The sequence below is a fragment of the Homo sapiens genome, chromosome 6 (genome assembly GCF_000001405.40).
Source record: "Homo sapiens chromosome 6, GRCh38.p14 Primary Assembly".
NCBI classification, from domain to species: Eukaryota; Metazoa; Chordata; class Mammalia; order Primates; family Hominidae; genus Homo; species Homo sapiens.
The window spans coordinates 61990592-62008884 of NC_000006.12; the positions used below are offsets into that span (position 1 = coordinate 61990592).

At 33.8% G+C, this 18293-nt stretch overlaps 1 protein-coding gene across 7 annotated transcripts in view; it reads right to left on the reverse strand.

The window, feature by feature from the left end:
- The window catches only part of KHDRBS2 (KH RNA binding domain containing, signal transduction associated 2), a 743556-nt gene that overhangs the window by 447922 nt on the left and 277341 nt on the right, over positions 1–18293 (reverse strand). The gene's annotated exons all lie outside the window — the stretch shown is intronic.

Sequence of the window (18293 nt, forward strand, 5' to 3'; positions counted from 1 at the left end):
TTTGAATTTAGAAATAAGAAGAATAACATCTTCTGAACAGCAAGCTCTGTGCTGAGTACTTCACACACATAATTTTATTTTGTACTTCAGAAACAGTACCTAGCATTGGATAACCTTTTTTTTTTTTTTCCTTTTGAGACTTGGTCTGTCACCCTGTCACCAGGCTGGAGTGCAGTGGTGCGATCTCGGCTCACTGCAATCTCTGCCTCCTGGGTTCATGTGATTCTCCTGCCTCAACCTCCTGGGTAGCTGGGACTACAGGCACGCACCACCATGCCCAGTTAATTTTTTGTATTTTAGTACAGACAGGGTTTCACCATGTTGGCCAGGATGGTCTCAATCTCCTGATCTTGTGATCCATCCGCCTTGGCCTCCCAAAATGCTGGGATTACAGGCATGAGCCACTGCAACCAGCCTGATAACCCTTTTTTAGCATTGAGAACTACATGACTCCTGAGTTCCCAGGGCCGTGGATGATTATAGTATAATAAGGTGATGTGTCATCATTTTGACTTTTCCACTATAAAATATGATATTCTTCCAGGAAATACAACGTTTAGACCACCTGGAATTAAGTCCATTAAAAAATTTTCACTAATGCAAACAGAAAAAGCCTATTTCTAAGAAGTCTCAATAGCCTAAAATTAGTGAGAAATTAAAATGCTTGAGTGTATGCCAAATAAAGTAATAAGCAAATCAAAAGCTGTTTGTCAAGAACATCTTTGTAGATAGTATTTTGAAATCACTTTATGTAGCACGCTGAGTCTTAGGGTAGTTGGGTCCTGTTTTCTATTTCAAGAAGAGGAATCCTCATGAAGAAAAGGCTTAATGAAGTCTGAGACAGGCATGCTTTGAGTTTGGAATAGGGCCCAGGAAGAAAGATGGGTTGAAAAGAAACCTACGAAACCAATTAAGAAATGAAGTGAGCTGGGCAAGAGGATCTCAATAAAGTAATCTTCCCCCAGTAGATATTGCCAGAATCACTTCTGAGCCTTATGATGTTGAAAGGGTGAGTCGTCACTGCCAACCAATAATGGAAAAGCAAACACAAGTGAGTCTCAGTTGGCAGGGAGCAATAGGCCAAATGCCTCTTTTTGAAATAAATTTTCAAGGTGGAATATCAGTTTCCGGGAGGACATCTTGTTTGTGGAGGAGCCAGCAGCAGGATGCCAAGACAGCTCTGACCCAGGGCTCTGAATGGAGTGACTAAGCCAGAGAGGGGAAAACAAGTACAACACAACGAAAGACTACAAAGGCTGCTGAAGAAGGTCTTGCAGAATTGTATAGATGTTGCCCACTGGGAAGGCAATGGTTGCAGACTGATCAACATGGCCCTACACAATGTCATATGGAATGTTTTACTTTGGACAGATGCATTATGCTGTTCATCAGGCAAACGGACTGAGAAGTAAGCACCATTAGGACCTATAAAGTGGCTAACCACTTACTAGAATATAGCTGGTATCAGTGTGAAAGGGCATCCAAATTTACAGCATGTACTCAAAGTCAATAAATGCCAGGGGCAGAAAATATATACTGTTGCTACTTTTAGCTTTTGAAAATCAAACTTGATCATATTAGTTCCTGCTTACAAGTCTTGGCTAACATCTTGTTTACCTAAACTTCAACAATTTTATCCTGGCATTTCAGACTTTTAAAATTTGACACTGGTTTAGCTTACTTGTTCCATCTTCTGCCATCTCCTTTGTGAACACCATTTTTCAATCATAAGAAAATACTCACGTTTCTTAGAAATTACCATCCTCTTTTAAACCTCTATGCACATTTCTTCTTCTTGCAAGGTTCAGATTGAATATATTTAGCTAGACTCCACAGACTCAGCAATGCAGAAGTGATTGCTCCACAGTATCTTCCATGTAATATCTTCTAAATGATATTAGTTCTTAAATATTTGGTATTATGTTACTAATATCAATTGTATCCTGCCTCAGAATATTTGGCTCCATGGGACCATGGAGTATGTTTTTCTGTAGGGGTCTGATGTGTGTGTGTGTGTGTTTGTGCGCGCGTGCGCACGCTTATATGTGTAACCAGAGTGGGAACAGTATAGTTAACTGAGGCTTTTAAAATCATATATAAATGGTTAAGAACATGTATAATCTCTACACACATTTGTATTAATCATTTTAATCAAAGAAACAGCTTTCTGTTACCTGGAAAACAAGTATTTTCCAGGGGGAATGAAGGACACAGAAATTTGACCTCTTAAATATTGCAACGTCTTATCAAATGATCTTTTTCCCTTTCTATCCTTTATTTTTGTAAACTTAATGAATGCTCTACCAATACTGGAAAGTACACTCCTAGCACCAGAGATGCCTGCGAACCTGTAAGAGACGGCGTATATGGGAGGAAAGGTGTACTGGTGCCCTTCTGTAACTAAGCTTCAAGCGCAGTTGCTTACCAGGAAACTGATATGATATTGAGGCTGCTACAAAATTTCTCTTGGGCCCCGAAAAGCCCCTTTGCAGAATGTTTTCTCAAAGTCTGCAAAATTGATGTTTTTGGGAAAAGTGTAAAGGCAGAGTATGGGAGGAAGAGCAAAGGCCTGGATATAGGCTCCCCATAATACTTTATACTTGTTGGCACACATCTTATTTCATGTGGCCCAGAAAATATGTTTGCCAGGAGAGAAACTTTTCCCTACTAGCCATGACAGATGTTTTCTTCATAGTATCACCGAAAACCTTTCATCACCACCTACCTATATTTACATAGGGCTTAGACTCGCTCTTTCTTTACTCCAGGGCAGCAAGCATATTGAGATGCTACATAAACAGAAAGAAAAATAATAGCTTAAAATAAAAAGTATTTGTCCTATAGAACTGATAATTATAGAAGAGATATAAAAATATTAATAGAGTCTGCAAAGTTTTAATCCAATCTCTTCTGAGCATATCCCCCTCCCCACCACTGCTAGCCTCAAAAGCCAGCTTGCCTACAGCTATGGCAGTCAACAGTAATTAACATATCTGGAGAAATAAGATCATGGACAGGAGGGCTACAACTGCCCTCTACTCCTTCAGTCCCATAAAATCATATATATATATATATATATATATTTTTTTTTTTTGATGTGAGCTTATATATTTAGCTGCTTGCTCCTGGTGCTAACATTGCTATAGCTCTGAAAAGAAAAATGAATGTATATTGGCTATCCACAATGTCCTACAACAACACTAGGGATTTTCTCACCTATGAAGTTATTTAAACCTTGTAATAGGTTAATGTTATCTGCATTTTGACTCTTAAGGAAACAAAAGATTTTTTGACTATACCAGACTAAACTTTAGGAAATTGATTGACTCAAATATTCAGCTCAATGATAACTGTCAAACTCACACGTGATAATCATATTTTACCTCATATAACAAAATAGAAAGTAAAGTCAAGCCTGAGGCTGGATCCTGATCTACAGAGTATTTTGCTGTTTACCTCGCTGCCTGCTGCTCAAGGAACTGACTGGCAGGAATGCAGCTGTTATTGGTACACAAGAAACTCCCCTTAGTGAGCTAAATTTAAGGTGCCAAATAAATTACAATTTTCCTAATCTCAATGGTCTCAGGAATTCTAATAAAGCCTTAATTCTCAGGGAGGATTTCTGCAAGGAGGCGTAATCCAAGGATATGGTCACTTCAGTCTTATAGATTCAAAGACTCCCTTTGACCAGAATAGGCATTGGGATAGAACTCACCTCTAAAAGAATGTCTTTCAAGACCAGCATGAATTGACAGCAGATTACCTTTATTCCAGACTCAGACTGGTAAGAAGAAACTAATCATTTTCTTAAGAATCCTCTACCATTCCCCTTTTGAGACTGCCTACATCTGCCTGAAACATAAGGATCTGGAAAGATGGCCTTGATGGTTTTGCTCTAAACAGTCACTAACATAATGTTAATGTATTAATGTAATAAATATTTAAAATGCACCTTCTTGTGAAGACTCTGTGTTATGAGTTTTTGGGGGTGGTCTCTGACCTGAGAGAGCTCATTGTTTATACATAGAGAGATAAGGCAACTACATATAATAAATTCTGGTATGAGATAAAGGTCAGAAGAAAAGTTATGGGACGTTTATTCATGGGCTTATATACTCATTCAGCAAAGTTTACTGAGTAAGGATGCAAAATATTTATTGTAAGTGCAATAAAAGAAACAAAAGGAGTGGGAAGATCCTGGTAAAATGGTGTACTATTTGGACAGAGTGCGTGTGGGGTCTTCGTGGTGAGTAATGAGAAGGTGCTCACCTCCAAGGACCCCAGGGGCAAGTGGGTGAAGCAGTATTGCAGGCACAGAGGAGAAGGGAAAATATTCTAAGGGAGGCAGGAAAAAAATGGGCACGTCTGAGGAATAGAAAGAAAGCCCGCGTGGCTTGAGCATAGGGAATAGAATAGAAAATGGAAGCAAATAAGGTTTGAAGTAGAAGATGTAGACAACTATATAGGGCTTTGTAAGGCCACAATAAAGGGTTCATTTTTCCTGCGTTTGAACCCTTTATCATGGCCTACAAAGCACTATATTATGTATAATATATAGGGTATCTATATGTTGCTTATTAGGGGAGATGGGGACCTTGATCCTGAATTTTGCACATGTAGCTAAGTGTATCACAAAAGGTACAATTAATTGAGAAGAGTTGAATGGTAAGAAGTGTTCAATTGTCAAGTGATAAAATTGCTAATATATCAAAATATTAGAAAAACAAGACTTTATCCTAGAAGTGACTATTTTTGCTTTACTTTTTAACATATTTAATGTCTACTTTTCTAACATACAACGTATGATAGAAGAGGTATTGGCTCAGCTAGGCTTTGAAGAATGTCTGGGATTTAAAAATGAGCAGGGAGCAAGGAGCAAGTCAAGAAGAAGGAACATCAAGAATGTAATCTCACCTGCCTGTTTGCTTTGGGAAGTCCAGGGTTATAACACTGTTTTTGTCCAATAATTAATGGTACTTCCTTTCACTCTCAGAAGCCACTCAAAAGGCAGGCATGCAAGGGGTCCATGTGATCTCATGTGCAAAAGTCAGGGTGAGTCTGAATGTGGGGACTCTGTAGTTATAACTGAGGGATTGGACTTTAGTTATTTTAACTAAGAGTGGGGAAGGATATTGAAGATATATGAGGAGGGTAATTAGCACTATGTTTCAGAGAAAAAAAAATCAGATAGTAGTTTATAAAATGTATCTGTCCACTTTTAAGTTGATTCACCACTCTTCTCCCCACCAATTATCTATTTGTAAATAGATGCCTTAAATTTATGTCTTTTAAGTATTATCTTACAAGGATCTTTATCAGTTACTTAATTTTAAATGAAAAATTACTGTTTGTGAAAAATACATTTGTCTAGACTTCCATCAATGCATGCTAGCTTGAGAAACTTATAGATCATCTAATAACACTGGTGAAAAAGGAAAAGAGACAAAGAAATTGAACACAAGTATAACTACTTCTGGATCTATGACCTCATGACTGGCTATGTGAACTGTCCTTCGAAGACAACTTTTAAAAGCAATATCATATTTAATCTGTCTACAGGGCAAGTGTTAAAAATGTTTTAATACTTTATAAAAGGGTATCTGTGACTTGGAATGAAATCTCCAATTAGAGCATCACACAGAGTTTCAAAAAGTATTTACATGAAAATAATTTACATGAAAATGAAAATGATGTGCTAAGGAAAGCTTTTAAATGACTCAGAGATTAGCCAAATGAGATACTGATGTCAAGAGTTTGAAGACATTAAATACAAGAGACAAATAGAAAAATAAAACACTATTTAAATCTCTCTCTATCCAATTTAGTTAATATCATTAAGTGGATATTTGCTATTATATCTATATTCCTACATGTCTTGATAATCAAGTTTGCTAAATGTTTTTTTCTGGGCCTTTTTATTGGCAAATTGGGTATTCACTTTGCATTTTGGATTATGTTATATCAAGGAATGGTTAGTAGAGGGCAAAATGGAAATGTTCCTCCTCTGAAAAGGCAACTTTCTCCAGTTCAGGCACTCTGATTTATCATCATTTTCTCTAAATTGAATTAAGCCCAATTGAACTTTTTACTTTAACCTATTGCTCTTTTTGAGTCACATATAACTTTAATATCTTTTCATTGTGATAGCCTTTTAAATATTAAATAAACATACACACTCTCTTTTACCCCTCCTCCCCCCCTCACCCCCCCGAGATAGAGTCTTGCTCTGTCACCCAGGCTGGAGTGCAGTGGCATGATCTCGGCTCACTGCAACCTCTGCGCCCGAGTTTAAGCAATTCTCCTGCCTCAGCCTCTGGAGTAGCTGTGATTACAAGTGCCTGCCACTATGCCTGGCTAATTTTTGTATTTTTAGGAGAGACGGGGTTTCACCATGTTAGCCAGGCTGGTCTCAAACTCCTGACCTCGTGATCCGCCCACCTTGGCCTCCCAAAGTGCTGGGATTACAGGCATGAGCCGCCATGCCCAGCCCATCCACACATATTTTTAAACTAAAACATTTCCCATTATTTGTTTTCTGTGTTAAAGCATGTTTTGCACTTTTCACCATCCTGGACTCTCTAATTCTGATAAATTCTAGATTGTTAATATTCTTCTTAAAGTGTAGCTTTTAGCTGCCTACAAGTTTAAATGTATTATTTTGTCACAGGAAAGAGAAAATAACTATCACCCTATTGATTCTGAGTGCAAAGGTACATAAATACTTGATAAGATAGGATTGCCCCACACTTGACTCCTCTTTGACTTATAGTCAATGGAGACCTCTAGGATTGTCACATGTATTGCTGGATGCTCGTAAGTAGTATCACTGATATTCTGAAATTAGCTGTTAAAATTTTTAATTGAAATAACTAAATGCAACCCATTATTCAAGTTTAACTATACCAGTTTTTCCCAAACATCCCTCTCCAGGTCCCTTCTCTTGCAAATTCGGTAAGGGTGTGATTGTCATTGCCATCTAAGCCCACTGATAAAATGACCTTACCTAAATTTAGGACCTTCTTCTAATTTAACACCAATCCATGTAAATGAGCACTTTTAGGGTTTAACCAGCTATGGATCCTCCTAATCCTCAATAAAGCCCTTAAGGATATAGTGAGCAGCATCATATATACTGACTCTGGAGAATGTTCTCTCAAGGCCTTGTTCCCTACTAACTCCCAGCCCAGCTTACATGTTATTTTCCTAAGCTCCAATGACATTCTGTTGCCATTCTCCAAAGATCAATGACACGATTCTATAAGAAATGTACAGTACTACAGAAGAGAGAAATAACTACTGCACATTCAGAAAGAGTTAGATATTCCAAAATATGACTAAGAAAAATGCTTAGAACAAAGAAATTGGAGCCTAAAATCAACTGGAATTAACCGGCCTGGTTTACTAATGTTCTCTAAAGTTTGGAGATACAGCAATTGTAATTAATTTTAAACCTGAATTATAGGTATAAATTAACATTACATAATTTACTTATTGTGCACACAGTGGTACTGGAAATAAAATACATTTACTTTTAAATACATTTAGTTAAATGAAGAACCTGAATGAGGGAGACTTACTGAAAACTTCAGAGTAGTCTCAAAAGCCATGAGTAAAATAAAAAATCTTTAATGCAGTTTAATTAAGGCAATTTTAAAGAGTGAGAAGAAATTGAATTAATTCACTGAACAACTATTTCAATCAACCATCTTGTAATCATACTTCATTGACAACATTTTACTCATACTATAATAAGTTGCTATTTCTTACACTCCTGAAAAATTCAGTCAAAGGTGTCTGGAAGACATTTGATTCCCTCTAGCAAAATGAGATTTTCATTTTGTCATAATATCTACATTTTGGTTTTAATTAATACTCAATCTCTACCTTATGAACAAAATGAAATGGGCCAAACATGCCAAATTTCATAGGATTTCTTTCCCAGAATGGAAAACACGTTTTCTTCTTTATCTTTATTTTTGGAGGTCACTTTAAACCAAAATACGTAGATACGAGTTCCAGAAAACATTGTTTTATTCTTTCTTTCTGGCATATATTTTTAGTATATTTTTTGTGTTTGTTTTCTCCTTTGTCCTTCTGCTTTCCAAATTCATGCCAATAATTAAAAAGGTCACCTTGGCTAGAAATAAAAGGAAATAAAAACTTTGATCCATTTGAAGTAATCTGCAAAACTCCACGACAAAATGGCTTTCTGCTTCTCTTGACCTTTCCTGCTTCAAACATTGACCTTGAAGTCATACAAAATACTGCCTGTTCATCTAAGTATAACTTTATCCTGTATATAAACATATACATATCACACATATACACAAATATATGTACACATATATTTCAAACTATATTTAATAAGCTTTAGGCTTAGCTATATTTCTAAAATTTGTGTTTTCTTTGCCTACATTTTCTCATTTATTTTGTTTTGAGACTTGTTATCTTTATGTACTTACAAGCTGACTAAAATTCTTTCTTGCATTAAGGCAAACTATAAATCAATTTGAAAATATTCAGTAATTGGGAGGAAAGAAACAAAACTACACTTATAAATTGACCTAACAAATGACCTGACTCATTTACATTAGGGTAAAAATTTGTTCACCAATTTCCAACCTCCAACCCAAATAAAAGCATCCTCGAGTGATTTTATTTAAATGCTCAGAGAAATGCTAACTTTTCTTTCTGTATTAGCAAACAAGCATTCCTGTAAATAAAAATTCTAATCAAGGTTTGCATAGTTACTGAAATGGATATTTATTATGTTATGTACGTATGGAGAACAATTTCTATAAATTTGTACCTGATCAAGCATCATTATCATGAGTAATAACGCTGATATAACTTAAAGTTGTTTTCAGTATACTTCTTTCCTTTATATACTGTGGCACACTTTGGGTATACCAAAAACACATCCTTTGGATGTGTTATGGCACATACCTTTGGATTTTGTGGATCCAAAGCTATGATCCTTCTTAAATTTCAAAAATAGTTTCTACAGTGCTTAAAAGTACAAATATTTTTAATATCCAACAATTTGCATAAATTTCACTCTACCAACTTAAATCAGATAAAAAATTATTAGACCAGGTGAGTTTTGGTAATAATAGCACAAAATGAATTTTAAAGCCAGAGAAAAGCTGTTAAATTATGAAAAGGCATCTTTGTCTTTTATAGTTTTTTCTTCCATCAAACTCACTGTAATGAGTTTGAGTTTTTATTTGATAAAAAACATTGTATTAATAACATAAAATATATTAGAGCATCATTATTAAAATCAGAAACAAAATTAAAGTTAGAATATTAGATATCTTATGGTGAAAATCAGTACACATTAAAGTTATTTTCCCACTACTATAATAGCAAAACAAAAACTATTATACTGTATTCTCATCTTAAGATCCTTAACTTAATTACATCTGCAAGTCTCTGTTATCATATCAGATAATGTCTTTACAGTTTCCAGGATTAGGATGATATGGACATCTTTAGGGGGCCCTCATACAGACTACCACAATTGTGTGAGTGTGTGTGTGTGTGTGTATGCACATGCACACATGTGTTTGCTGGATCATGACATAAAACATGCTTCCTATAGTGAGTTCTGGTTTAAAAAGATCTGAAATACTCATTTAGATCCAGTGATAGGCAGATATGCAGAAGAACTTATACCATTTCCCAAGTTATACTGCCTGGTAAATGTCACTAATTGATCTCAATTTTTTTTCCTGCTAAACTCAAATGTAACCTCAGAATCCTTCTCAACACAGAGTCTAACAAAATATTAGTTGATTGGATTTGGAATGTAAGTTTTTCACTTTTTACTGTCTCTCCTAATTGCATTATTGTTGAAAGAATAAGCAACAATGAGATCTACAATTAAACTGAAAATTTGATATTTGTCAAACAAGTGATAGGAAAGTGAGAAAAAAATATCAAATTAAGCACCTTAAAGATTCGTAAGAGTTAAATCAGTGTTCTTGTAAGTGGTCAATGTAGGCTTTACAGATGTCCAGTAAAAGGGTGTAGGGAATCAGAGAAAAAGATGCCGGAGGTTTCAGCTCTGGGAAGACTCACTGCAGAAAGTGGCACTTGGCAAGATTTATACAGGTGGGCAGGAAGGTAGAGCACTTCAGCAGAGAGGCGGTCTCATGAGGTTCTTCCAGAGTAGCTGTGCTGCATGACCTCAGTCAGCATCACATGTTCAAAATATTTTGAATTTTCAAACAATTCAAAATTGGAAAAGTATGGTCCTTCAATAGCAAAAATAAAAACAAAGTTGGCTATTATGAAAAATTAGTACTATTAAATCAGTCAAAAATTCAGCAGAAATATGTTTAGTTGACATACAAATAGTTCAAAAGAAAAATTAAGAACAGGAAGGTGCTGTTAAAGTAACACAAAGTGACTTTGACAAGAGTCACCATTTGTGCTTGAGCAATAATGTGTGGTGTTTGAGAAGCAGCCCTTCCTGGCCTCATTCAGACATTATTGGAATAGCTTCTTACGTTCTGGTCACCTTACTTGAGGACAATTTAAATAATTAGTGAAATGTAAAACAGATAAGCAATTTAAGAGCAAAGTCCTTAAAGAATATGCAAATTAGGTTTTAGCCTAATTAGTGGAGTTAATGGGTCAGTAGTCTCAGGGTTAAAGTTTAAAAACCATCAACTATACAGAGTTTCATCAAACAAAGAAGGTAACACACTATTATCTATGAATAGAATATTAAGTAAGTTTATTTTGTGGGTGTATGACGTAAAATTGAAATCCTTACAATCATTCATTTTTTTTTTTTTACATATTGGTGCTCTTCTTACTGTGACACTACATTAAAACATGGAATATATTGGAAAAATGAAAAATATTTTTCAAAATAACAGATACTTTTAAGAAGAATAGGATAAAATTGCTAACTTGAAACTGCCCAGGGTGGAAAAAAATTACAGAAAACCAAGACAACAAAGTGATACTTACCATGTCCATATTCTTAATAACATTATTATTTTAACAGCTGGTAAATATATTCACTTTTCAATGTTAATGCAAGTCATTCATAGACTCTGCTGGTATTACTTCTAGAATTTGTTGAATATGAACAGACGAATTTGGTCTTTCCATGAAATACCACACAGAGAGTCTGCAAACATTAATGATACATACAGAAGTTGAACCAAAATGACACTCAGGTGAACAAATCTCAGAGGTGAAAAGTTATTGAATTTTTGTTTCAATTTTCTTTGTGCTTACTACTGACACATCTATTTCATCTTTAGGTTGAAAAGAAGAGGATTATCTTGCATGGCTTTTACTGAAAGAAGGTTATTTGAGAAATTATTTTCAAGAAGCAAGTGAACTTGCAAAGTAGATCAAAGGGAAAATTAAATTTTAGCGTTATGACACTGTACTCACTTTAGCTGAAGCATAGAAAGTGTAATGTTCCCTAATATCTGTAAAGCTTTTACTGAATAGTTAGAGCACCTTTTTTGATTACCTTGAGTAATCAGAAAGTGCACACATTTGAAACCATTCAATTTTGACATTTTAAGCTTCCTTTATGGGCATTAAGAAGCATAATCACCACAGTGATTAAAAAAAAAAATTCCACCAAAGGTGTTTGATATTCCTGGGTTTCTAAAATTTCCTATTACTAAGAATAAATCATGAATGAAGTAAGATGATAATATTGGATAAGTGCTTTTCTCAGTACATTGCTATTGCTTGAAATAATAAAATAAAAATGAAGGTTTATTTATTTATTATATATCTGTGCATCAGCTAGTATTGGGATACTTTTCTGATAAAAATATATTTTCAAATGTGTTCATTAAACATCATAAATGTCTTTTCTATCATTTTTGCTATCTGTAACAATTTCTATATTAATAATAGTTATAAAATTATTTAATTTTCTCTTTTATACCCACATCTCTCTAAATAACAGCATTTAACCTTTTAAATACTATATTACTCTTTTTAAAAATAAATTGTTTATCTGAAGATTTCAATCGTAATGTAGAATAGAGCAATGTAAAAATCATTATAATTATTTTAAAATGTCAGTGACTCAATAAAAATTACAAAGAAGGTAATATAAATGGCATTATCATGAAAGTCTCATCTATTGCATGTTCTTTTTCTATAATTACATTTTAGTCACAAATGTCATAACACAAAGATAAAATATAGTATAGGTTAAATTTCTTATAATTTAATTTTCTTAATTATTTTCATTATTGTTATATCCTACATGTTAAGTTAAAATATGAGATTCTATAACAGAATTTTAAAATAATAACATGCAATTTAGAAAACTGAGACAATTAAAATTTCATAATTCTTCCATTTTATCAAACCATTCTGAGGATTTGGTAATACTATTAATTCATATGTAAAAATTTCATAGTTAAACCTAATGTATATAAAATCTAATCCCTTTTCTTTTTGGCAAAATTATACTTTTTTTTCCAACTGATTATCTAACTCATTTTTCTTTGCAGGTAAACATACTTCCAATTCAGACAATATTCCTTATCTTTCTTAATAACACTGTCTCCAAGTCATGGGTTTCTAGTCCCAGCTGAGGTGGGAGGATGACTTGAGCCTGGGAGGTCAAGGCTGCAGTGAGCTACTATTGCACCACTGTACTTCAGCTTGGGTGACAAAGTGAGACCCTGTCTTTCAAAAAAGTAAAGTAAAATAAAATAAAATAAAATAAAATAACATTTGTACCCACATAGATGGATATTATATTTTAGGACAAAATCATTTATTCAACTAAAATGTAATTCTTGTTAGCTAAACTCTCAAGTTATTTCTTGAGAGGAGAACATCTTTCAACTTCATGATTGAGCAACAAGAAGAGTTAACTATCCTAAATATGTATGCTCCCAATATAGGAGCACCCAGATTCATAAAGCAAGTCCTTAGAGACCTACAAAGAGACTTAGACTCCACACAATAATGATGACAGACTTTAAAACTCCACTGTCAATATCAGACAGATCAAAGAGACAGAAGGTTAAAAAGGATATCCAGGACTTGAACTCAGCTCTGCACCAAGCAGACCTAATAGACATCTACAGAACTCTCTACCCAAAATCAACAGAATATACATTCTTCTCAGCACCACATCACACTTATTCCAAAATGGACCACACAGTTGGAAGTAAAGCACTCCTCAGCAAATGTAAAAGATCAGAAATCACAACAAACTCTCTCTCAGACCACAGTGCAATCAAATTAGAACTCAGGATTAAAACCACACAACTACATGGAAACCAAACAACTTGCTTCTGAATGACTATTGGGTAAATAACAAAATGAAGGCAGAAATACAGATGTTCTTTGAAACCAATGAGAACAAAGACACAACGTACCAGAATCTCTGGGACACATTTAAAGCAGTATGTAGAGGGAAATTTATAGCACTAAATGCCCACAAGGTAAAGCAGGAAAGATCTAAAATTGACACCCTAACATCAGAATTAAAGGAACTAGAGAAGCAAGAGCAAACAAATTCAAAAGCTAGCAGAAGGCAAGAAATAATTAAGATTAGAGCAGAACTGAAGGAAATAGAGACACGAAAAATCCTTCAAAAAATCCATGAATCCAGGAGCTGTTTCTTTTTTGAAAAGATCAGCAAAATAGACCACTAGCAAGACTAGTAAAGAAGAAAAGAGAGAGGAATCAAATAGACGCAACAAAAAATGATAAAAGGGATATCACCACCCATCCCACAGAAATACAAACTACCATCAGATAATACTATAAACACCTCTTCGCAAATAAGCTAGAAAATCTAGAAGAAATGGATAAATTCCTGGAGACATACACCCTCCTAATACACCTTCCTAAACCAGGAAGACATTGAATCCCTGAATAGACCAATAACAGACTTTAAAATTGAGGCAATAATTAATAGTCTTCCAACCAAAAAAACTCCATGACCAGACGGATTCACAGCCGAATTCTACCAGAGGTACAAAGAGGAGCTGGTACCATTCCTTCTGAAACTGTTCCAATCAATAGAAAAAGAGGGAATCCTCCCTAACTCATTTTATGAGGCCAGCATCATACTGATACCAAAGCCTGGCAGAGGCACAACAACAAAAAAAGAGAATTTTAGACCAATATCCCTGATGAACATTGATGCAAAAATCCTCAATAAAATACTGGCAAACCGAATCTGGCAACACATCAAAAAGCTTATCCACCAAGATCAAGTTGGCTTCATCCCTGGGATTAAAGGCTGGTTCAACATACACAAATCAATAAACGTAATCCATCACATAAACAGAACCAAAGACAAAAACCACATGATTTTCTCAACAGATGCAGAAAAGGCCTTCGACAAAATTCAACAGCTGTTCATGCTAAGAAGTCTCAATAAAGTAGGTATTGATGGAACTTCATGATTGAGAATCCTAGTTGTCTTTTCCTTTAATTTAAACAAAGGCTAAACACTTCATTTTTAGAGTTCATTTAAGAGATTTGAAGTTCTGATTACAATCTCTTGATGTTCTTGGTGTATATATCATATTAATGGTCATTAATCAGTTGAGTTATGTCTGCCACAACAGTAAGTGATTTTTCAATCCACTCCTCTTCCTCATCAGCAAAGTAACACTTGCAAACTACCTACTTCAAAGGAAAATTCAGATACATAACTGATTTTATTTATAACTAAAATATAACTGACATGAAAAGATGTTATTATTAACCTTGTTATTTTTTGTTGTTTGCTATTTCTATTCCTGTCATCATTATTTTGAAGCCACTGCAACACTCTCCAATTAAAAAAATTTATTTGTACTATAAGAAAATAAAATCAAATTATTTAAATATGCTTTAATAATAGAAAAGATTAGATATTTCAGAGAGCTATCTCCTAGAATATGAATTTCCCTTGTAGAAATTACAACAAGCATAACTTTCAGTACATTTATAGACTTACAAAAGAGAAAGGAAAGTCTTTAGGGACCAAAAATCAAATTCATTTAAATAATAGTAACACTAAAAAAATAAGCTTTTGCAAGTGAGTATGAAAAAAAAATCAAATAGTATAAAAACTGAAGTCTTTGGAACTTGAAATTGTGAATAAAGAATATAAAATAACAATATATTTATAAAGTTCTAACTGTAAATCATGCAAATAAAAAACCTATAGTTATGAAATAAAAATAAAAAATGATAAAGCAGATATCAAAACCACTAAATAGAGCTTGCTGAAATGAAAATAGCAAAACCAGTAAAATATATAAAATTCAATAGATTAACCAATCTTGAGATAATACACAGTTTAAGCGATTACTAACATTGACGAAATTATACCAAATGCAACACAGAGATACAAGGAGACGAAAAATTTGAAAGCAATATTAAGAAATGGAATATGCAATAAGACTGTTTAACATATTTTCCATAGCAGCCTCCAATGTAGAAAACAGAATTGAGAAAACAAAATATTCTATGGGCTGAGAATCTCTAAAAAATGAGTCAAGAATCAGAATAAATCTCGTGCAGGATAAATTTGTAATATTTCACTCTAGACAATACAGTAATACAACTGTAAAACAGCAAAGAAAACCTCTAAAAAGGATGGACTATGCATGAACTACAGAGACTGACACAGACTTCTTAAAGGCAACAATGGAAGACAAAAAGAAATGTAGTAATAAATTTGAAATTCTGAGAGTAAAACACTGCCAATCTAAAGTTATATATGCAAAAATGAATCTTGTAAGACAAAGAGCAAGACAAACATTTTCAGGTAAATAAAACTAAATGTCATTTTCTCCAAAGAAATTGCTAAAAAAGTATTTCAAGAAGGAATAAATCAAATAAAAATGAAGGTCAGAGCTGAAGGTAGAATGAGCAAAGAAATTCATAAGCACAGTGATACATCTAATCAGAGACTATATAAAAATAACAACTAAACATGGCTTAGAACACACACACAGCTAAAATACTGAAAATCATAACATTTAGATTCAGCTAACAATAATAAAGTATCTTCAATTCTTCTATTGCTCATGGGTGAAATAAAAATACTGATCCGCTTTATCCTATACAAGACCATAGTAAACGTTTTAAAGGTAACTAATAAAGTATAATATAGAATGTATAACTTTCAAACATATATACAGAAAAATTAAATAGTAAATTTCCATTAATTTAAAAGAAGACAAAACAAGAAAAAATAATAAAGCAAATTATAGATATCAAAGGATGATGGTGGAATCATCAAAATATATCAATAAACATAAATAAAATAAAGCCTCAAAATATAAGGCAGGAGTTATTAGATAAATTTTTTTTAAATTCAGCTTACTGTTCTGAAATTCAAATGTACTGAAAGTTAAAAAAATTTCAGGTCATGACAGGCAATATTAACCAAAATAAAACTTGTACGTATGTGTGTGTGTACATACATCTACATGTAAGACAAACTGGACATTGCTTCTGTGATCAGACAGGCTACCTTTCATGTTTCTGCTCCCATTATAACCACAAGGGTTGGGAAGGCTCGTCAAACAAAAAGCTAAAGAAAAACAAATATTTCCCAATCCAGTTGTACTTTTTCAAAAATTAAGCCTCTTCCATTTCTCCAGAGTCTTCCATTAAGCAGAAGTTCCATCTTCTGCTTAACCTTTATTACTTTTCAACACCTTTAAATAAGTTTTCTGTTTAAACAGTTTGTTGTCCAGTAAAGGTCCAGTTCTGAGGACCTTTACTCTGCCATGATTATCCAAAGTGGCTATGAGAGATTACTTTGTTGGTTAAAGCTCTTTTACATTTTGATGTTTTTTTTTTTCTTTTGTCATACATAGGCTTTAACTGTTTTTTATAAAATGCATGAATTTACTTCTCTGCCTAATCGGGTGTATGAAAACTGATGACACAGACCACATTTTTATTTATGCTTAATTATCATGCAAACTTTAATCTGTTTAATTAATTATTGTGTCTTAAAAAAGTAAGTGAAACTAAATGTATAATTAATATTCTGAAGAAAACCATTAAAACACACAGCTTTGAAGGTAAGGAATAAATATATACCACACATATGCCTCTTTAGGGAATATCAACTAAAATTCACAAGAAGAAATTTAGTGGCTGAAAAATAGATGTATAGTCAACGAGGAGGCTTTTCACAAAGTCAATTCTTCAGTACCATAAGTCAAAAAAACCCCAAACCTGCTGCTTTATGTCTTCATATCTATGATATATTTATAAAGGCGTATTTGATGCTGTAGAAACAATAAACTAGAACACATATGTTGTGCATCTCTACTGTAAAATGGCAAAATATGGTAGAGATAACCTGCAAAAGTATAGAAAATATCAAGTACAAATTGATTTCTGAATATACAAGATAAAGATAAAAAATGATATACAAAATGAATTTCATATGTTAAAAAATGCCAAGCATTGACTGTATGTAGAAATGGAGCTTCACAAATTAAAAAGCAGAAAAGGTAACATATTCCTGATTAAAACACCACACAATTTTACTGTTGGATGAATCACAAAAGTTCTCATTAAGGAAGAAATAATGCTTGCATTCAGGGTCAGTTAAGCAAATAAAATGCAGATTTGCAGCTGGATATAACCTGCCTCAGTACGGTATTTTTAAAAAGTACCAAGTGCTTAGGGTTTTGTCACATGAGAGGAATTTTTTTTTAAACCTAAACAAAAGACTCTTTTTTCCTAGTCATGTGACAGTCAGTAATTTATGTTATATGTTTTATTCTAATGTCCTTATGAAAATGAGGACAGTAATAGTAAATGTCTCATTGAAATTTTGTGAGGAATAAAATATATATGTACATAACTTTTAGAATAATGCTCAATAGTTAACTATGATGGCTATGATTATCCTTATTACAAGTCTACAGATTTGAAGTATAATCAATACAGGATTCCACTCCTAAGTGGTGTATATACAAGCTAATTTTGGGGATGGAATTATCAAACAGTGATCCCCTTGATATGATTTGGCTCTGTGTCCCCATGCACATCTCATCTTTTAGCTCCCATAATTCCCATGTGTTGTGGGAGGAACCCCATGGGAGATGATTGAACTATGGGGGTGGGTCTTTCCCATGCTGTTCTCATGATATTGAATGGGCCTCACAAGATCTGGTGGTTTTAAAAAGAGAAGTTGCTCTGCACAAGTTCTCTCTTTGCCTGCTGCCATCTGTGTAAGATGTGACTTGCTCCTCCTTGCCTTCCAACATGATTGTGAGGCCTCCCCAGCCACGTGGAACTGTAAGTCCAATAAA